This window comes from Homo sapiens, chromosome 9, assembly GCF_000001405.40.
Source record: "Homo sapiens chromosome 9, GRCh38.p14 Primary Assembly".
Classification (NCBI taxonomy): domain Eukaryota; kingdom Metazoa; phylum Chordata; class Mammalia; order Primates; family Hominidae; genus Homo; species Homo sapiens.
In genome coordinates, this window is record NC_000009.12 from 32,492,281 (window position 1) to 32,514,307 (window position 22,027).

Consider the following 22,027-nt stretch of genomic DNA (forward strand, 5'->3'; position numbering starts at 1 on the left):
GAGATGTAGCTCTGGCTATCTGAGGGGAAAAACGCCTCTGATGGGATGTAAAAGACCGGTTGGAATGAGCGAGTCCTAAGTAGAGCTGTGAGGAGGGTACAGTGTCTTACCTTTCTCTACAATCCACAGTTCACTGAACTTGTTCCTTTCTTTCTCCAAAGCAAGTTTCAAAGTTTTGGGCCAGTTTTCCTTGTCTGATCTGAGAAGGCATTCCACCAATTTCTCTGCACCTGCCATCATCCCCTTAGTAGAGCAAATCTAAGCAAGGTAACTGTAGTTTATTGATCAATTATCTCAAAAGTTTTCCCTTTATCAATTTTTACTGAAGAAATGTCAGTCATGTACTATCTGATTTAAAGCCATTGTACATTACAGCTCAGTGGGTCATATCCATGACAATTTTTGCCCCATCCAACACAGTCTTTTAAGATACTTTTTCCTTCATCTTTGTCCTTTACACATGATGTCACTATGTCAAGCCAAGCCTTCTCATCACCTCTAAGTTCTTATACCTATCCTCATCAGCAATATTAAGAAAATAATCATTTGACAACCATTCCCAATATGGGTATATTGGCATATAGCAATATTTGGAAACAGATAACAAAATATTAACAAATTTTTCTTCAGGGTTGAGGAATTTGTATGACTTTTACTAACCATAATAACTAAAGTTTATTGTACACATACTCTGTGCAAGACATACATGAGTACTTTACATATATTATCTCATTACCCTTATGAAAATACCATATTATAAGGTAACATTATTATTTCCATTTTACACACAAGGAAACAGATAGATATTCAGAGAAACTAAGTAACTTGCCCAAGATCATACCGCTAGTGGTTGAGCTATGATTCTAACAAAATTCATCTGTGTCCAGAGTCTAAACACTTAACTGCTAGAGTCTGTAGCCCTTTCTCATTTGCTCAACTGTTCAATTTAAATTTGCATAAAATACTATTCACAGACTGTGGTGATTTTAACTGAAAATAGGGCAAACTTCAAAAAAACTTTGTGACATAAAAATTACTCAGTTCACATTAAAAGTACTATTCTGGCTGAGCACGGTGGCTCACGCCTGTAATCCCAGCACTTTGAGAGGCCAAGGCGGGTGGATCACGAGGTCAGGAGTTCGAGACCAGCCTGACCAACATGGTGAAACCCCATCTCTACTAAAAATACAAAAATTAGCTGGGCATGGTAGCACGCACCTGTAATCCCAGCTACTCGAGAGGCGAGGCAGGAGAATTGGTTGAACTCAGGAGGCGGAGGTTGCAATGAGCCGAGATCACACCATTGCACTCCAGCCTGGGCGACAGAGCGAGACTCCGTCTCAAAAAAAAAAAAGTACTATTCTATGAGTACTTTTGTGGGTTTCAATGATCTTTCTCAGGTCTAAAACAGTATAGAAAACAGAAGACCTTCCCATGTTATAATTATTTCCCCCAATTTTAGTATTTTATATTAACTTACCTGTAGAATTTCTTCACATTCCTGATTAATTAAACATTCAGACAGATCAGAAATGATATCGGTTGGGATAATTCTGGTTTTAAATTCTGGTTGTAAACGTTTTAAAAGTAATCTATACTCCTCCAACTTTTCAATTTTTTTGAAATCCCAACTTTCAATGGCTTCATAAAGTCCAGAATAACCTGAAAAAAAAGAAAAAAAATGTGGACTTTTATGAAACCAACTGAAAAATACTTTGAGATTAGTATCATAGAAATCATGTTTGAATGTATGGTGGTAGAATTCAAAAAATATCTGTAAATTACCCCCAATTGTCATTGATTTTTCAAAAAGAAAACAGTATTCATTTTAGTCAGCCAACACTTTAGGTCTTCTAGCAATATTTATTATCTATTGGGAAAAAGTACTAAGGAAAACTTTGAAGTCTTACATTTTGATCTTAGTATAAAATCTTTCTTCCAAAGTGACTCATAGACTTCACCTACAATCCCTGATTTGTCTTTAAAAAGTCAGAGTCAACAGGTTTATTAAGTATCTTCTCAGTGGAAAGCAGTAAAGAAGGCAAAAAGAAATATAAACCTTAATTCCTGCCCACAAGGAACTTTCCTTCTAATTTTTCTAAGATAATATTAAGTAAATGGGAAATTTACTTAATATTATTCTACATGCCTTTAAAAGATATTTATTTAAAAATCATATTTAGAAAGTTCAGAGAAAAATACTAATGGCCAAGAAACATACATAAGATGTTCAACCTCATTCTTTTTTAAAATTGTAGTAAAAAACAGATAAAACATTTACCATCTTAACTATTTTTAAATGTACAGTTCAGTCGTGTTAAATTCATTTTGTTATAAAAAAAAAATCCAGACCTTTTTCACCTTGCAAATCTAAAACTCTATGAAACAACTATTCCTTTTTCTCTCCTCACCCCTGCTCCTGGTAACCACCACTCTTTCTGTTTCTATGAATCTGACTACTTTAGATAATCTATATAGGTGGCAAAATACAATATTTGTCTTTTTGTGACTGGCTTATTTCACTCAGCACAGCACCCTCAATGTATGTCCATTTTGCAGGATGTGCCAGGATTTCCTTTTTTTTTTAAGGCTGAATAATATTCCATTGTATGTGTATATCACATTTTGTTGATCCATTCATCACTGATGGACATTTGAGTTGCTTCTACCTTGTAAGCTATCACGAATAATGCTACTATCAACATGGATGTGCAAATATCTCATCAATACCTTGCTTTCAATTCTTTTGGAAATACACCAGAAGCAGAATTGCTGGATCATATGGTGATATATATTTTCAATTTTTTGAGGGACTGCCATACTGTTTTCCATGGCTGTTAACACCATTTTACAATCCTACCAATCAGGCACAGGGTTGCAGTTTCTCCACATCCTCACCTATATGCATTATTTTCTGTTTTTATTTTATTTTATTTTTTGAGGCAGAGTCTTGCTCTGTCACCCAGGCTAGAGTGCAGTGGCACGATCTCGGCTCACTGCAAACTCTGCCTCCCGGGTTCAAGCAATTCTCCTGCCTCAGCCTCCTGAGTAGCTGGGATTACAGGCACCCGCCACCGCACCCAGCTAATTTTTGTATTTTTTAGTAGAGATGGGGTTTCACCATCTTGGCCAGGCTGGTCTTGAACTCCTGACCTCACGATCCACCCGCCTCGGCCTTCCAAAGTGCTGGGATTACAGGCATGAGCCACTGTGCCCAGCTTTGTTTTTGTTTTTATAGAAGCCATTGTAATGGGGGTGAGGTGATATTGCATTATGGCTTTGAATTTCTCTGATGATTACTGATGTTGAATATCTTTCCATATGCTCATTAGCCATTTGTATATCATATTTGGATAAATGTCTATTCAAGTCCTTTGCCTTTTTTTTTTTTTTTTTTGAGATGGAGTCTCGCTCTGTCACCCAGGCTGGAGTGCAGTGGCATGATCTCTGCTCACTGCAACATCCACCTCCTGGGTTCAAGCAATTCTCCTGCCACAGCCTCCCGAGTAGCTGGGACTACAGGCGTGTGACACCACGCCCAGCTATGTGTACTTTTAGTAGAGACAGGGTTTTGCCATGTTGGCCAGGCTGGTCTTGAACTCCTGACCTCAGGTGATCCACCTGCCTCAGCCTCCCAAAGTGCTGGGATTGCCTATTTTTTAATTTGATTTTTTGTCTTTGAGTTGCAGGAGTTCTTGATATAGTCTACATATTAACCCCTTATCAGGTATATGATTTGCAAACATTTTCTCTCATTCCATGGGTTGACTTTTCACCCTATTATGTCCTTTGAGGCACATAAGTTTCATATAGTCCCATTTGTCTATTTTTTCACTTTTGTTGCTTATGCTTCTGATATCATGTCCAAGAAATCACTGCCAATTCCAGTGTCATGAAGTTTTTCCCCTATGCTTTCTTCTAGGAGTTTTAATAGTTTTAGGTCTTATATTTGCTCTTTAATGCATTTTGATTTGATTTTGTATATAGTGTGTGATGGTTAATTTTCTGTGTCAACTTGACTGGGCTTAGGGATGCCCAGATAGCTGGTAAAACATTACTTTTGGGTGTGTCTGTAAGGGTGTTTTCAGAACAGATTATCATTTGAATCAGACTGAATAAAGAAATTCACCCTCACTGATGTGTGCAGACATCATCCAATCCATTAAAGACCAAAACAGAACAAAAAGGGAGAAGAAGGGCAAATTCTCTTTTCTTGAGCTCATCATTTCTTTTGCCCTTGGACATCAGAGGTCCTGGTTCTCAGGCCTTCAGACTCTGAATTACACCAACTGCTCTTCTGATTCTCCAGATTGTGGACAGCAGATCATGGGACATCTCAGCCTCCACAATCATGTGAGCCAATTCCAAAAATATATATACACATACATGTAAGTAACAATGTGTATACATATCCCATCATATGTACACACACATAAATATATCCTATTGCTTTTGTTTCTCTGGAGAACTCTAATACATGGTATAAGTGTCAAAATTCATTCTTTTGCATATGGATATCCAGTTTTCCCAACAACATTTGCTGAAGAGACTGTCCTTTCCCCATTGAGTGGTCTTGGTATCTTTGAGCATATACTTGAGAATTTATTTCTGGGTGCTCTTTTGGCCTATTTGTCTGTCTTTATGGCAGTGCCACATCATTTTGATTGCTACAGATGTGTAATGTGTTTTGAAATTAGGAGAGGTGAGGCCTCCTGGTTTATTCTTCATTATCAAAATTTTACCTATTCAAGATGCCTTGAGATTCTCTATAAATTTTGGATAATTTTTTCTATTTCTACAAAAAAAATGCCATTGCGATTTTGATAGGGATTGCATTGAATCTGCAGTTCGCTTTTGGTAGTATAGGCAACTTAAGTCTTTAATTCATGAATGGGGATGTCTTTCCATTTATTTGTGTTATCTTTCATTCTTTCAGCAATGTTTTGTTGTTTCCAGGGTATGAGTCTTTTATCTCCTTGGTTAGGTTTCTTCCTAAGTATTTTAATCTTTTTAATGCTATTATAAATGGAATTGTTACCTTAATTTCTTTTTTGGATTATTTGTTAATATATAGACATGCGACTAATTTTGAGGTGTTGATTTTGTGTCCTGAAACTTTTCTGAATTAGTTCTAATAGTTTTTTCTAAAATCTTTAGGGTTTTCTACATATAAGATTCTGCCATCGGCTGGGCGCAGTGGCTCACGCCTGTAATCCAAGCACTTTGGGAGGCCGAGGCAGGCGGATCACAAGGTCAGGAGATTGAGACCATCCTGGTTAACACGGTGAAACCCCGTCTCTACTAAAAATACAAAAAATTAGCCAGGCATGGCGGCGAGCACCTGTAGTCCCAGCTACTCGGGAGGCTGAGGCAGGAGAATGGCATGAACCCAGGAGGCGGAGCTTGCAGTGAGCCGAGATTGCGCCACTGCACTCCATCCAGCCTGGGCGACAGAGCGAGACTCCGTCTCAAAAAATGAATGAATGAATAAATAAATAAATAAATAATTCTGCCATCTGCAAACAGATTATTTTCCTTCTTCCTTTCCAATTTGGATACCTTGTCTTTCTTTTTCTTGCCTAACTGCTCCAGCTAGGACTTCCAATACTAAACCTTATTCAATTTTTAAAATGAAAATTAAAAGTACTGTTTTTACCTGACAGGTTGGTAAGGATTAAAATAACTTATAATATCCAGATTAATCATATCCCCAAAGTGGAGAAACAGTGCTTTCTCTGATGAGAAACAGAAACCAGCCCTTTGGAAAGACTTGCTCCATTGCTGATTTCAACCAACCTCCTGACTGCCCCTCCCTTTAGCAGTTTCAACACACCAACCAACCAGCACTTCTTCCTGATAAGAGACCACCAACCACAGAGTGGGTCTGGCCAGTCTATGAAGGATGTGCAGTGAGAGTTTTCATGTCCTCTGCTTCACCTTCTGACATCAGAGGGCCAAAAACTCCACCCTTGGATCTTGCTAACACTGCCAGTTTTTGAACATGGGTCCCATAGAAAGGCATGAAGCTCACCTGCCCAGGTGCATGCTTCTACTTTCATGACTCCTCCTGTAGCTTACTGAATATTTGGTCACCCTATTCAGCATAAATCTCTGTTTTACTCTCCCCACCCTCCAAGTGCCTGTTTCCTGCTTCTGGCCCGAGGCTACACTTCCCAGCCTGTCAAAATGGCCACCATGCAGACTGCAACCCTTTATGAAAAATAAAGCTCTCCTTTCCAAATTTATGAACTTCATGATTCTTCTGTTGATAGAAAACACCATAGCTCTGAAAACAGAAATGTAAAAATTATGTAATATTTGATGCATGTACCAGAATATTTGCAACATATATAATAAAGAGTATAACAAGAAAAGGAACATATGTGAACCTACTATCCAACTTAAGAACCACCATATTCCAGCTGGGTGCAGTGGCTCATGCCTGTAATCTCAACACTTTGGGAGGCTGAGGCAGGTGGATCACCTGAGGTCAGGAGTTGGAGGCCAACCTGACCAATGTGGCAAAACCCCATCTCTACTAAAAATACAATAATTAGCCAGATGTGGTGGTGGCCACCTGTAATCCCAGCTACTCAGGAGGCTGAGACATGAAAATAGCTCGAACCCGGGAGGCGGAGGTTGCAGTGAGCCAAGATCGTGCCATTGCACTCCAGCCTGGGCAACAGAGCGAGACTCTGTCTCAAAAAAAAAAAAAAAAAAAAAAAGATTTCCATTAAATATCTTCTTTAAGCCTTAGCACTGTTGGACTTCAGTTTTGCTATTCAGTAGTTATAAAATGTTATCTCACTGTGTTCCTAATTTACAATTCCCAAATTCCTAATTGGGCTGAGAATCTTTTACATTTATTCACTTTTCATTCTTCGTATTCATTGAAATGTTTGTCCAAATTTTTTGCTCTATGTATGTTTTCTTTCTTTTTCCAGTTGATTTTAAGACTTTTTTTAATATATTCTAGATTCTAATCCTTTGGTGATTATACATTTTGAAAATATCTTCTCCCAGAGTTTGTGATTTGTTTTTTTTTTTTTTTTTTTTTGCTTTCTTTATAGTGTTTTTGATAAACATGATGTAAGGAATACAAATGTATTTATTTATTCGTACCCACATGGGCATAAAAGTTAGCGTTTGTTTTTTAAATACAGGGTTTATTTATTTATTTATTTATTTAAATTTGAGAAGGAGTTTCACTCATTGCCCAAGCTGGAGTGCAATGGCGCAATCTCAGCTCACTGCAACCTCTGCCTCCTGGGTTCAAGCAATTCTCCTTCCTCAGCCTCCCGGGTAGCTGGGATTACAGGTGCCCACCACCACGCCTGGCTAATTTTTGTATTTTTAGTAAAGACAGGGTTTTGCCAAGTTGTCCAGGCTGTTCTCAAACTCCTGACGTCAGGTAATCTGCCTGCCTCATCCTCCCAAAGTGCTGGGATTACAGGTGTGAGCCACCACACCCGGCCCAGGGTTTGTTTTTTAAATACAGGGGTCTCCCTATGTTGCCCAGGCTGGAGTGCAGCAGCGCCATCATAGCTCACTGCAGCCTCAAACTCCTGGACTCTAGCAGTCCTCCTGCCTCAGCCTCCTGAGAGGCTGGGACTACAGGCACACGCCACCATGTCCAGCTTGAGTTTGTTCGGCTTTTAATATTATTCTGTTTATAAATGCTATTTTTTGAATAGCTCCTCCTTTCCCAGTAATCCTCTTTTCTCAGTGATGTCTAATATATCAGGTTTCCATAAAGATATGGTCCTAATTAGAGGGTCTCTATTCTGTTTCAATGGTCAGTTTGTCAATGCCAAAACCAACATTTCACTGTCTCAATGCCTGTAGCTTTCTAATAAATGCTAACGTGTAGAAAGAAAAGCCCCAATCTACTAAATTTGTCTTCTTTAGGGGTGTCTTGACTATTGTTGGGTCGTAATTCTTCCATATACATTGTAGAATCAACCTGCCACACTCACTGAAAAAGTATGTAGGATTTTTATTAGAATTATATTGAATATACAGATCAATGTAGGGAGAACTGATATTTTTATGATCTCAAGCCTCCTTCTCTATGTGCATGGGTATGTTTTTCCATTTAGGACTTCTTTAATATCTTTTAATAACATTTTATCATTTTCTCCATTCAGACCTTATACATCTTTTGTTAGATTTATTCCTAAATACATTACAATTGTTATTATTAAAAATGATACTTCATTTTGGATTACATTTTTTGTTTGCTTCCATTGGGCAGAAATGCAACTAATTTTTGTATACTGGTCTTATATCCAAATAATCTTGCTAAACTCTTCCATTAGTGACAATAATCTCTCTGCAGATTCTTTTGTTGGATGTTTCAGGTAGACAATTATATCATCTGCCTAAAAACAGTCTTTACATTGTCTCAGACTAAGAGGCATGAACTATAAGTGGATACTTCAAATTTAATAGCTTTTCACTTTTACAGTATTGTCAAGCAGCAAAGTAATATCCTCTGATTTGTGATTAAAAAGAATGAACTAACCTGCATGGTCTAGGGCATCCAAAAAGCCACGGAACCAGCCTTCCTCCTGGAGCTCCAACAGGAACTTGAGAAAAAGTGTGGCAGCCTCCATTGGGCCCTTGTTGTTTTTCTCAGCCTGAATATACTGCACCTCTTCTACAAACAGAAGCAAAAATGACTCATCAAACTGCAGAACTATTAATCATTAGAAGAAAAACCAGAAAAGGATCACCAGACCTTCCCAAATAGGGACAGGAATTGTACCAAGTCACAGCATTGGAAGAATCTTTGGAGAAGCAGCAAAACCTCTGCCCAGGCCGACTGTGCCCATTCTTCACCAAGCCACTCTTCCCATCCTCTCTGGAAACCTACAGTTTGGTGTGGAGGTCTGAGCACACATTCTAGAAAAGGAGTTTCTTGAAGATGTGTAAAAAAATCTCCCTGCAAAAAGGGAGAAGTCATGGTGGCCTCAAACTATCCTCCTCCCTCAGCCTCTCAAAGTACTGGGATTACAGGTGTGAGCCACTGCACCCAGCCTCTACAAAAAAAAAAAAAAAAAAAAATTTTTTTAATTAGTTGGGTGTGGTGGCTCACACCTGTAGTCTCAGCTACTTTGGAGGCTGAGGTGGGAGGATCACTTGAACCAAGGAGTTCAAGGTTCCCGTAAGCTATGGTGGCATCACTGCACTCCAGCCTGGACAACAGAGTGAAAACTTGTCTTGAAATAGGACAAAGAAAGGAGAAGGAAGGAAGTAAGGGATACTTCCATGGTCCTTTTGGGAGAAAATTATCTACCAACCTGCTGGTGGTCATTCTAACTTTGTACACTAATTTCATGCCCAGGGAGTAGTAATAAAAATGCTACCATGGTATGACCTGATACTTGATAATTTTCTGGGTTTTCTTTCCCATTGTTGATGGAATGCAAATTCCAAGGGAGTAAGCAAGTTGTCAGGCTGGTGAACCACTATATTCTCATAGATTAGAAGAAGACCTAGCACGTAATAGACAATAAACAAAGGTATGTTTAATGAATGAAGGAAGAGAAGAAGGAATGCCTTATAATCTTGCTCTACTTAAAAGGATCTCTGCCAAGGTCTCTGTCTTGACAACAATAAAATCAACCCTTTCAAAAAATAAAATTCAATGGTTTTTGGAACTGTGAATCCATGACTACTATTTTAGTACATTTTCATCACTATAAAAAGAAAACCTATATCCATTAGCAGTCATTCCCTACTCTCCCTCTCCTTAGCCCCAGGCAAACACTAATCAAATTGAGTCTCCATGGATTTGCCTATTTTACACATTTCATATTAATGGAATCATACAATACATAGTCTATGTCTGGCCTCTTACTTTGCATAATGTTTTTAAGGTTTAACCATGTTGTAGCACGTTATTATTCATTCCTTTTTATTGCCAAATAATATCCCACTGTATGGATACACCACATTTTGTTTATCCACTCATCAGTGGGCATTTGATTTGTGTCCACATTTTGGTTATTACAAATAGACATGCTATGAACATTCATGAGCAATTTTATGTGACGATGTATATATTCATTTCTCTTGAGTACACACATAGGTGTGAGATTTCTAGTTCTTATGGTAACTCCATTTTTAACATTATAGGGAATTGTCAAACCATTTTCCCAAGGAGCTGCACCATCTTACATTCCCACCAGTAATCTAAGAGGATTCCAATTTCCACACATCCTTGACAGTACTTCTTACCATCGTTTTCATTTTAGCCTTCTGTATTAGTTTCCTGTGGCTGCAATAACGAATTAGGACAAACCAGGTGGTTTAAACAATAGAGGCTTATTCTCTCTGTTCTTGGAGGCCAGAATTGTGAATCATGGTGTTAGCAGAGTCATGCTTCCTCTGAAGGCTCTGGGGAGAATGCATTCCTTGCCCTTCCGGTTTCTGGTAGCTGCTGGCATTCCTTGGCTTGTGACAACACTCCCTCCAACTTTGCCTTCTGTTTCTCTGGCTTGTGGCCACATCACTCCAATCTCTGCCTATGTTTTCACACAGCATTCTCGTTGTCTCTATGTCTTCACATGGCTGTTTTCTTAGAGGGACACCAGTCATATTGAACTAGGGGCCTGCCCTACTCTAGTATGACCTCATCGTAACTAATTACCTCTGTAAAGAAACAGTCTCCCAATAAATCACATTCTGAAGTACTGGGGTTTAGGACTTTAACATATATTTTGGGTAGGGGGACACAATTCAACTCATAACAGCAACCTATCTTGTCACCTATCCCAGCTTCCCTGGACCCACAATCCTACCGTATTCCATTGAGTCAGTTCATTCTGTTCCTAAGCCCATTCCTTACAGCTGTACTTTTGTTCCCAGGCCTCCCTGCTGCTTGAGCTTCCTTTCAACATGCTAACAGCCATTACAGATATTCCACGTGGAGATGCAAATTTATCCCAGCCACAGCTACCGCCTTCCCAGATAAACTGCCTTGCAGTATGCTGGGCAGTTCACATTTACTTTGCATGTGGTCAGGCCCATCCTTCTACTACCTGGCCCCAATATCTGCTGCTACAGAGTAGTGACAATTTCCTCAAAAGCACCAACAATGCAGACAAAACTTCATCTTTGACAGTATTTCCCACTGCCTTTGCTGTCCTGGGGCCCATTGTGATGTCAAACCTCAGCTTCTCAAGGTAGAATTTCTTGATCCCTTCTCTGCTTTCTCAGTCTCCTTACTGACTAAAGCTCTTTATTGACTACTGACTAAAGTACTTACACTGCATAGTATATAGTAAATGTGGGCCTGTCTTCCACCTGAAACTGTGACTTGGAACATTTGTCTTGTGATCATCAGCACAGTACCTGGCTCACGCATGTGTCCAGAAAGTGCTACCAAAGGAATGGATACTCAGAATACTGCCCACCTGGTGCCCCTCCAGAATCATGGTTGGCCTTTGACTCCAAAATACTATAAAAAATCTGCAGCTGGGCACAGTGGCTCACACCTCTAATCCCACCACTTTGGGAGGCCAAGGTGGGTGGATCACTTGAGGTCAGGAGTTCAAGACCAGCCTGGCCAACATGGTGAAACCCCGTCTCTACTAAAAATACACAAATTAGCCAGGCGCGGTGGCTGGTGCCTATAATCCCAGCTACTCGGGAGGCTGAGGCAGGAGAATCACTTGAACCAGGGAGACAGAAGTTGCCATGAGCCGAGATCATGCCACTCCACTCCAGCCTGGGTAATAGAGCAAGACTCCAAACACACACACACACACACACACACACACACCCAGGTCTGCCTTGAAACATCCTGGACAACCTGTGAGTGAGAAAAGTGCTGCAGCTTCCAGGGTACCATGCAAGTTCTCCAGGAGAAACATGGCTTCAGTGCTCCTTTTCCAAGACGTTACTAGCGTCAATAATCACAATATCTGATTGCAGAGAGGGTTAGAGTAAACGAGATGCTGGATGTGGGCACGGGGGGAATGTGGATAAGCTCCCTTTGCTTTCCACGGATGGCAAAAAAATATGAGTCAAAAGTTTTATATCCAGCCATAACACTCATTAGTGTCTCTGGTCCCTGACTGAATCCTCACTGATAAAGTATAGTTGTCACAGCCCGGCACAGTGGCTCACGCCTGTAATCCCAGCACTTTGGGAGGCCAAGGTGGGTGGATCACTTGAGTCCAGGAGTTCGAGACTAGCCTGGCCAACATGGTGAAACCCTGTCTCTACTAAAAATACAAAAATTAGCCGGGCATGGTGGCCAGTGCCTATAATCCCAGCTACTCGGGAGGCTGAGGCAGGAGAATCGCTTGAACCCCAGAGATGGAGGCTGCAGTGAGCTGAGAGCTGAGATCCCACCACTGCACTCCAGCCCAGGCAACAGAGCAAGGCTGTCTCAAAAACATATATATATATATTATACATTTAATATATATAAAATATATAAAATATATTTAATACATAAAATATATAAAATATATTTAATACATAAAATATATAAAATATATTTAATACATAAAATATATAAAATATATTTAATACATAAAATATATAAAATATATTTAATACATAAAATATATAAAATATATTTAATACATAAAATATATAATATATAAAAGTATATATTATATCTATTATATATAGATATAATATATATTTAAACATATATATTATATATTTATTCTATATTATATATCATATATATTTTATATATAATATATATGTTTAAATATATATCTATTATATACAATAGATATATAATATATAATTTTATACATTATATATTTTATATATTAAATATATAATAGATACAATATATATGTCACAATTAAAGTTAACCAATGAATCCAGAGCCTCCAAAGCAGCCTAGAAAAAAATAGGGAATAGAGAAAAACTTTATCAATCTAATAGAAAATAGAAAAAGGAGTTGAACCCAAAAGGTATGTGGACAGAGATGCACATTATAAAGTAAAAAGGCATAAATAAGAAAAATGTAAATCAACTTCATAACAATGGTTGCCTCTGCAGAGGGAATCAAAAGAAGACCTCAAGGGTATCTTTCACATTAAAAATTAAGAAGTTCTTCAGGGTGCTTTTTCTTTTAACTTACTTTCCGGTATTTTTATTGTGATTGTACTCTATAAATTAGCATAGGGAGAATTGACATGTTTACAAACCTATAGTCCCCAGGCACAAACATAGGCTGTCTCTTCCTCACTCAAATCAGAGACAGATTTCTCTTCAGGGACTTCATAGTTTTCTTCATATCATTTCAGCATTTTTTTTGTTAAATGTATGACTATCTTCAATCACACGTAATATCCTCTAGAAACCATCCTTCTACATATCTAATTATGTGTATAAATATATAGTTTTAAATAAGTAAGATTTAACAAATCTGCTCTTTTCCACTCAGTGGATTACAGGTGTTGTTTCCTATTAATAAATATGTACCTACATCAACTTTTAGTGGCTGCATAGTTTTATGTCACATAAATGTAGTATAATTTAATGTATTCCTTTAACACGAAACTAAAATGCGTTTAGTACACACCCATCTATGTCTTTACCTGCTTTACCAACTTTTCCCTGGAATAAGTTCTCAGAAGTATAATTCCTCAGTTTAACAGTATATGCTTTTAAATGTGGAGGCCAGGCGCGGTGGCTCATGCCTGTAATCCCAGCACTTTGGGAGGCCAAGGCAGGCGGATCACTTGAGGTCAGGAGTTCAAGACCATCCTGGCCAACATGGTGAAACCCCCATCTCTTCTAAAAATAGAAAAATTAGCCAGGCGTGGTGGCTTGCACCCGTAATCCCAGCTACTCAGGAGGCTGAGGTAGGAAAATCACTTAAACCTGGGAGGTGGAGATTGCAGTGAGCTGAGATTGCGCCACTGCACTCCAGCATAGGCAACAGAGTGAGACTCTGTCTCAATCAATCAATCAATCAATCCATAAATGAATAAATGAATCAATGAAGGAAGGAATGAATGTTAATACATTTTCCCCAACTACCTTCCAAACTGTACTAACCCTCCATCGATAGTGTATGAATGATATTTCCCTCCATAGCACTGAATTTGCTCAATCTTCATAACCTTTGCAAAACTGAGAGACAAAAACAGACCAAACAAACAAACTTCACTGTTTTTAATGATTTCTTGTGGGATTTCTTCCACCTTTGGCCAGTGTCTTTTGTTTTGGTTATTTCTTAATACATTTCCTGTTCATGTCTCACAGCTAGTTTTGAGAGGTCATTCATATTTTTTTCTAAATTGGATTTGTAAGAATCTTTTATGCATTTAGGGAAATGTTATATAATCTGGTTTGTTTTTCCAGTATATGAAAATACTGTTTTTCCAGTATAATCTCACTTGTTTTCCAGTAGATAAAAATGCGTGGCCTCCGTTTTTATTTTATTTTACGTATCTATTGCAACAAGACTGAATGAACTCTGTTAGTTCCAGTAATTTGGGGGAATTTTGTTTTTGTTCTTTATTTTGGCCAGTTTGCTTTCTTTGGAGTTAACTGGCTGTTCTTTTTGCAATTACTTCAGTCAAATTAATTAATTCATAAGTGTTCATTCTTTTGAAATACCAATAAATCCATTTAGGCTATAAATTCTGATTAAAAGCTTATTACATCTTAAAATATATAATATGTTGGCTGATTGCCGTGCTTACTTTTGAAAGTAGCTATACTTGTTTAGATTTTCTCATTCTGCTAGAAGTTACTCAAAAGGATGCTATTTTGAAATTCTGTGAAAATTTTTTTAAACCTATGATTAATTTCTGGGATATAGAATAATAGCTAACAGTAATTTAATACCATGCAGTTTAATTTCCAAAACACCCAAACATGGTTTTTATTCTGATTTTACAAATGAGGAAACTGAGGCATACGAGAGTTAAGACATTTGCCCAGTATCACAGAGCCTACAAATTTGAAAATAAAACTCATAAAAGTTATGCTTTGGGAATTTATTAAATATTTATCTGTAACTCATATAGGATCACTTTGGCAAAGCTTTTTAAGAATTGGAGGAGAAGGATATATTTGCTATATGATACAAAATGGAAAACATAGACATTAAATCAACCTTATTAAACAGATCATTTATGCTTTTATTATCATTTATCTGACTTAGCAGTACTAATAAAGATATCTTATAATTCCCATATTTCTTGACGTTTTCTAATATTTAATAAACAAAGATTTATGTGTACCAAATCTTCACTGATATCTCAATACCTTTATCATTTTATCTTAATACTTTCCACTAGTGCAATTTAAGTATAATTCTTGCTTTCTTTACGTATGCATTTATTTAATATATATTTGTCCCTTCTTTATCTCTTTTTTATTTATTTATTATTTATGAGACAGGGTCTTGTTCCATTGCCCAAGCAGAAGTACAGTAGCATGATCATAGCTCACCATAGGCTCAATTTTCGGGGCTCAAGCAATCCTCCCACCTCAGGTTCCCAAAGTGCTGGAATTACAGGCATGAGCTGCCAAGTCTGGCCCCCATTTTTATTTTTTATGTTATTAGACTTTACATGGGTCTCTGGCAGATGACCAAAACCTGGATTCTGCTTTCTGACTCATTCACACCTATTTAAAAGATGTTTGACCTAATTACATGGCCATAGCTGATATAACTAGTTTTCCTTGTGTTATCTTGTTTATATTTCCCTTTCCTATATTTTCTGGTTAGCTTAAATTACTAGTTTCTTTTCTCCTCTCAAGAACAACAAAACATATAAAACCTCATTTAAATGGTATCATTATCTGTAACCATTCATATAGCTTTTTAAAACTACAGAAGCAAGTGGAAAATGGTAATATTTTAAGTCTCCCCCTTTTGAGGCAAGGGATTTAACTCTTATTTATCATAATTTTCCCTAGCTCCTAACAGACTCAATCTAAAATTTTAAACCAAAGTATTTACTTAATTTTTTTTTTTTTTTTTTTACTATATGAAAATCCTCTCTTAAAAAATGCTTGACTAGGAACCAGGGCAAGATGGCCAAAAAAGGAACAGCTCCGGTCTGCAGCTCACAGAGAGATCAACACAGAAGGCGGGTGATTTCTGCATTTCCAACAGAGGTACCCGGTTCACCTCACTGGGACTGGATAGACAGTGGGTGCAGCCCACAGACAGCGAGCTGAAGCAGGGTAGGGTGTCACCTCACCTGGGAAGCACAAGGGGTCTGGGAACTCCCTCCCCTAGCCAAGGGAAGCCATGAGGGACTGTGCCATGAGGAACAGTGCACCCTGGCCCAGATACTATGCTTTTCCCCCCAAGTCTTCGCAACCAGCAGACCAGGAGATTCCCTCCGGTGCCTATGCCACCAGGGATCTGGGTTTCAAGCACAAATCTGGGTGGCCATTTGGGCAGACACTGAGCTAGCTGCAGTTTTTTTTTTCATACCTCAGTGACACCTGGAATGCCAGCAAGACAGAACCATTCACTCTCCTGGAAAGGGGGCTGAAGCCAGGGAGCCAAGTGGTCTAGCACAGCAAATCCCACCCCTACAGAGCCCAGCAAGCTAAAATCCACTAGCTTGAAATTCTCGCTGCCAGCACAACAATCTGAAGTTGACCTGGGATGCTCAAGCTTGGTTGGGGGAGGGGCATCCACAATTACTGAGGCTTGAGTAGGCCCTATTCCCCTCACAGTGTAAACAAAGCCACCAGGAAGTTCAAACTGGGTAGACCCTACTGCAGCTTGGCAAAGCCACTATAGCTAGACTGCCTCTCTAGATTCCTCACTCTAGGCAGGGCATCTCTGAAAAAAAGCCAGCAGCCCCACTCAGGGGCTTACAGATAAAACTCCCATTTCCCTGGGAGAGGGCACCTGGGGAAAAGGGCAGCTGTGGGCACAGCTTCAGCAGACTTAAATGTTGCTGCCTGCTGGCTCTGAAGAGAGCAACAGATCTCCCAGCACAGTGCTTGAGCTCTGCTAACGGACAGACTGCCTCCTTAAGTGGGTCCCTGATACCTGTGCCTCCTGGTGGGGAGACACCTCCTACCAGGGTCAACAGACACCTCATACAGGAGAGCTCCAGCTGGCATCTGGCAGGTGCCCCTCTGGGAGGAAGCTTCCAAAGGAAGGAACAGGCAGCAATCTTTGCTGTTCTGCAGCCTCCACTGGTGATACCCAGGCAAACAGGGTCTGGAGTGGACATCCAGCAAACTCCAGCAGACCTGCAGCTGAGGGGCCTGTTAGAAGGAAAACTAACAAACAGGAATATCATCAATATCAACGAAAAGGACATCCACACAGATAACTCATCTGAAGGTCACCAACATGAAAGACCAAGGGCAGATAAATCCATGAAGATGAGGAAACGCCAGTGCAAAAAGGCAGAAAAAAAATGTGATCCTCTTCTCCTCCAAAGGATCACAACTCCTTGCCAGCAACGGAACAAAACTGGACGGAGAATGAGTTTGACAAATTGACAGAAGTAGGCTTCAGAAGGTGGGTAATAAGAAACTCCTCTGAGCTAAAGGAGCATGTTCTAACCCAATGCAAGGAAGCTACAAACCTTGAAAAAAGGTTAGAGGAGTGACAACTAGAATAACCAGTTTAGAGAAGGACCTGAATGACCTGATGTAGCCAAAAAACACAGCACGAGAACTTTGTGAAGCATACACAACTATCAATAGCTGAATCAATCAAGCAGAAGAAAGGATATCAGAGATTGAAGATGAATTTAATGAAATAAAGCATGAAGACAAGATTAGAGAAAAAAAGAATGAAAAGGAATGAACAAAGCTTCCAAGAAATATGGGACTATGTGAAAAGACCAAACCTATGTTTGATTGGTGTACCCGAAAGTGACGGGGAGAATGGAACCAAGTTGGAAAACTCTCGTCAGGATGTTATCCAGGAGAACGTCCCCAACCTAGCAATACAGGCCAACATTCAAATTCAGGAAATACAGAGAACACCACAAAGATACTCCTCGAGAAGAACAACCCCAAGACACATAATCATCAGATTCACCAAGGTTGAAATGGAGGAAAAATGTTAGGTGCAGCCAGAGAGAAAGGTTGAGTTACTCACAAAGGGAAGCCCATCAGACTAACAGCAGATCTCTCTGTAGAAACCCTACAAGCCAGAAGAGAGTGGGGGCCAATATTCAACATTCTTAAAGACAAGAATTTTCAACCCAGAATTTCATATACAGCCAAACTAAGATTTATAAGCAAAGAAGAAATAAAATCCTTTACAGACAAGCAAATGCTGAGAGATTTTGTCACCACCAGGCCTGCCTTACAAGAGCTCCTGAAGGAAGCACTAAATATGGAAAGGAAAACTGGTACCAGCCACTGCAAAAACATACCAAATTGTAAAGACCATCGACACTATGAAGAAACTGCATCAACTAACAGGCAAAATAACCAGCTAGCATCATAATGACAGGATCAAATTCACACATAACAATATTAACCTTAAGTGTGAATGGGCTAAATGCCCCAATTAAAAGACACAGACTGGCAAATTGGATAAAGAGTCAAGACCCATTGGTGTGCTGTATTCAGGAGACCCATCTCACATGTAAAGACACACATAGGCTCAAAATACAGGGATGGAGGAAGATTTACCAAGCAAATGGAAAGAAAAAAAAAAAGCAGGGGTTGCAATCCCAGTCTCTGATAAAACAGATTTTAAACCAACAAAGATCAAAAAAGAGAAAGAAGGGCATTATATAATAGTAAAGGGATCAATGCAACAAGAAGAGCTAACTATGCTAAATACATATGCACCCAATACAGGAATACCCAGATTCATAAAGCAAGTTCTTACAGACCTACAAAGAGACTTAGACTCCCACACAATAATAGTGGGAGACTTTAACACCCCACTGTCAATAATAGATCAACAAAACAGAAAATTAACAAGAATATTCAGGACTTGAACTCAGCTCTGGACAAAGCTGACCTAGTAGACATCTACAGAACTCTCCACCCCAGATGAATAGAATATACATTCTTCTCAGCACCACATCATACTTATTCTAAAATTGACCACATAATAGGAAATAAAACACTCCTCAGCAAATGCAAAAGAACGGAAATCATAACAGTCTGTCAGAACACAGTGCAATCAAATTAGAACTGAGGATTAAGAAACTCACTCAAAACTGCACAACTACATGGAAACTGAACAACCTGCTCCTGAATGACTACAGGGTAAATATGAAATGAAGGCAGAAATAAATAAGTTCTTTGAAACCAATGAGAACAAAGACACAACGTACCAGAATCTCTGGGACACATTTAAAGCAGTGTGTAGATGGAAATTTATAGCACTAAATGCCCACAGGAGAAAGAGGGAAAGATCTAAAATCAACATCATAATATCACAATTAAAAGAACCAGAGAAGCAAGAGCAAACAAATTCAAAAGCTAGCAAAAGACAAGAAATAACTAAGATCAGAGCAGAACTGAAGGAGATAGAGACACAGAAAACCCTTCAAAAAAATCAGTGAATCCAGGAGCTGGTTTTTTGAAAAGATTAACAAATATATAGACCACAAGCCAGTTTAATAAAGAAGAAGAGAGAGATGACTCAAATAGATACAATAAAAATAATAAAGGGGATGTCACCAGTGATCCCACAGAAATACAAACTACCATCACAGAATACTATAAACACCTCTACACAAATACACTAGAAAATCTAGAAGAAATGGATAAATTCCTAGACACATATACCCTCCAAGACTAAACCAGGAAGAAGTCAAATCCCTGAAGAGACCAATAACAAGTTGTGGCAGTAATGGCCTACCAACCAAAAAAAGCCCAGGACCAGATGGATTCACAGCTGAATTCTACCAGAGGTACAAAGAGGAGCTTATACCATTCCTTCTGAAACTATTCCCAACAATAGAAAAAGAGGGACTCCTCCCTAACTCATTTTATGAGGCCAACATCACCCTGATACCAAAACCTGGCAGAGGCAAAACCAAAAAAGAAAATTTCAGGCCAATATTCCTGATGAACATTGATGCAAAAATCCTCAATAAAATACTGGCAAACTGAATCCAGCAGCATATCAAAAAGCTTATTCACCATAATCAGGTCTGCTTCATCCCTGGGATACAAGGCTGGTTCAACATATACAAATCAATAAATGTAATCCATCACATAAACAGAACTAATGACAAAAACCACATGATTATCTCAATAGATGCAGAAAACGCCGTTGATAAAATTCAACAGCCCTTCATGCTAAAAACTCTCAATAAACTAGGTATTGATGGAATGTATCTCAGAATAATAAAGAGCTATTTATGACAAACCCACAGCCAATATCATACTGAATGGGCAAAAGTTGGAAGCATTTCCTTTGAAAACCAGCACAAGACAAAGATGCCCTCTCTCCCCACTCCTATTCAACATACTGTTGGAAGTTCTGGCCAGAGCAATTAGGCAAGAGAAAGAAATAAAGGGTATTCAATTAGGAAAACAGAAAGTCCAATTGTCCCTGTTGGCAGATGACATGATTGTATATCTAGAAAACCCCATCATCTCAGCCCAAAATCTCCTTAAGCTGATAAGCAACTTCAGCAAAGTCTCAGGATACAAAATCAATGTGCAAAAATCACAAGCATTCCTATACACCAATAACAGACAAACAGAGAGCCAAATCATGAGTGAACTCCCATTCACAATTACTACAAAAAGAATAAAATACCTAGGAATCCAACTTACAAGGGATGTGAAGGACCTCTTCAAGGAGAACTACAAACCACTGCTCAATGAAATAAAAGAGGATACAAACAAATGGAAGAACATTCCATGCTCACGGGTAGGAAGAATCAATATCGTGAAAATGGCCATACTGCCCAAGGTAATTTATAGATTCAATGCCATCCCCATCAAGCTACCAATGACTTTCTTCACAGAATTGGAAAAAACTACTTTAAAGTTCATATGGAACCAAAAAAGAGCCCACATAGCCAAGACAATCCTAAGCAAAAAAGAACAAAGCTGAAGGCATCATGCTACCTGACTTCAAACTATACTACAAGGCTACAGTAATCAAAAGAGCATGGTACTGCTACCAAAACAGATTATCAGATATATAGACCAATGGAACAGAACAGTCATCAGAAATAATGCCACACATCTACAACCATATGGTCTTTGACAACCCTGACAAAAAGAAGCAATGGGGAAAGGATTCCCTATTTAATAAATGTTGTTGGGAAAACTGACTAGCCATATACAGAAAACTGAAACTGGACCACTTCCTTACACCTTAGACAAAAATTAACTCAAGATGGATTAAAGACTTAAATGTAAGACCTAAAACCATAAAGTCCCTAGAAGAAAACCTAGGCAATACCATTCAGGACATAGGCACGGGCAAAGACTTCATGACTAAAACACCAAAAGCAATGGCAACAAAAATCAAAATTGGCAAATAGAATCTAATTAAACTAAAGAGCTTCTGCACAGCTAAAGAAACTATCATCAGAATGAACAGGCAAACTACAGAATGAGAGAAAATTTTTGCAATCTATCCATCTGACAAAGGGCTAATATCCAGAATCTACAAGGAACTTAAACAAATTTAAAAGAAAGAAACAACCCCATCAAAAAGTGGGTGCAGGATATGAGCAGACATTTCTCAAATGAAGACATTTATACCACGAACAAACATATGAAAAAATGCTCATCATCACTGGTCATTACAGAAATGCAAATCAAAACCACAATGAGATACCATCTCATGCCAGTTATAATGGCAATCATTAAAAAGTCAGGAAACAACAGATGCTGGAGAGGATGTGGAGAAACAGGAACGCTTTTACACTTTTGGTGGGAGTGTAAATTAGTTCAACCATTGTGGAAGACAGTGTGGGTGATTCCTCAAGGATCTAGAACCAGAGATATCCTTTGACCCAGCAATCCCATTACTGGGTATATACCAAACTATTGTAAATCATTCTCCTATAAAGACACATGCACATGTATGTGTCTTGCGGCATTGTTCACAACAGCA

General features: G+C 38.7%; 1 protein-coding gene across 7 annotated transcripts in view, besides 2 other annotated features; it reads right to left on the bottom strand.

Annotated features, from left to right (window-relative positions):
- RIGI (RNA sensor RIG-I) overlaps positions 1–22,027 on the bottom strand; it is a 70,895-nt gene that overhangs the window by 36,979 nt on the left and 11,889 nt on the right. For 3 of the 7 annotated variants that reach the window (NM_001385907.1, NM_001385909.1, NM_014314.4), the window contains exons 2-4: positions 8,525–8,659; positions 1,481–1,662; positions 111–258 (exon numbers count right to left, since the gene is read on the bottom strand). In NM_001385907.1, the coding sequence (NP_001372836.1) occupies positions 111–258; positions 1,481–1,662; positions 8,525–8,659 (465 nt within the window). Of the gene's footprint in view, positions 1–110; positions 272–1,480; positions 1,663–8,524; positions 8,660–22,027 lie in introns of all 7 variants that reach the window. The other 4 variants (NM_001385914.1, NM_001385910.1, NM_001385913.1 and 1 more) reach the window with 3 other exon arrangements.
- Positions 15,800–16,518: an enhancer, noted in NCBI's record as "H3K27ac-H3K4me1 hESC enhancer chr9:32508078-32508796 (GRCh37/hg19 assembly coordinates)". NCBI's record gives its function as "activates a minimal SCP1, AML or CMV promoter by ChIP-STARR-seq in naive H9 embryonic stem cells {active_cell/tissue: H9 hESC(naive)}" and the evidence as "EXISTENCE:reporter gene assay evidence [ECO:0000049][PMID:30033119]".
- Positions 16,519–17,235: an enhancer, noted in NCBI's record as "H3K27ac-H3K4me1 hESC enhancer chr9:32508797-32509513 (GRCh37/hg19 assembly coordinates)". NCBI's record gives its function as "activates a minimal SCP1, AML or CMV promoter by ChIP-STARR-seq in naive H9 embryonic stem cells {active_cell/tissue: H9 hESC(naive)}" and the evidence as "EXISTENCE:reporter gene assay evidence [ECO:0000049][PMID:30033119]".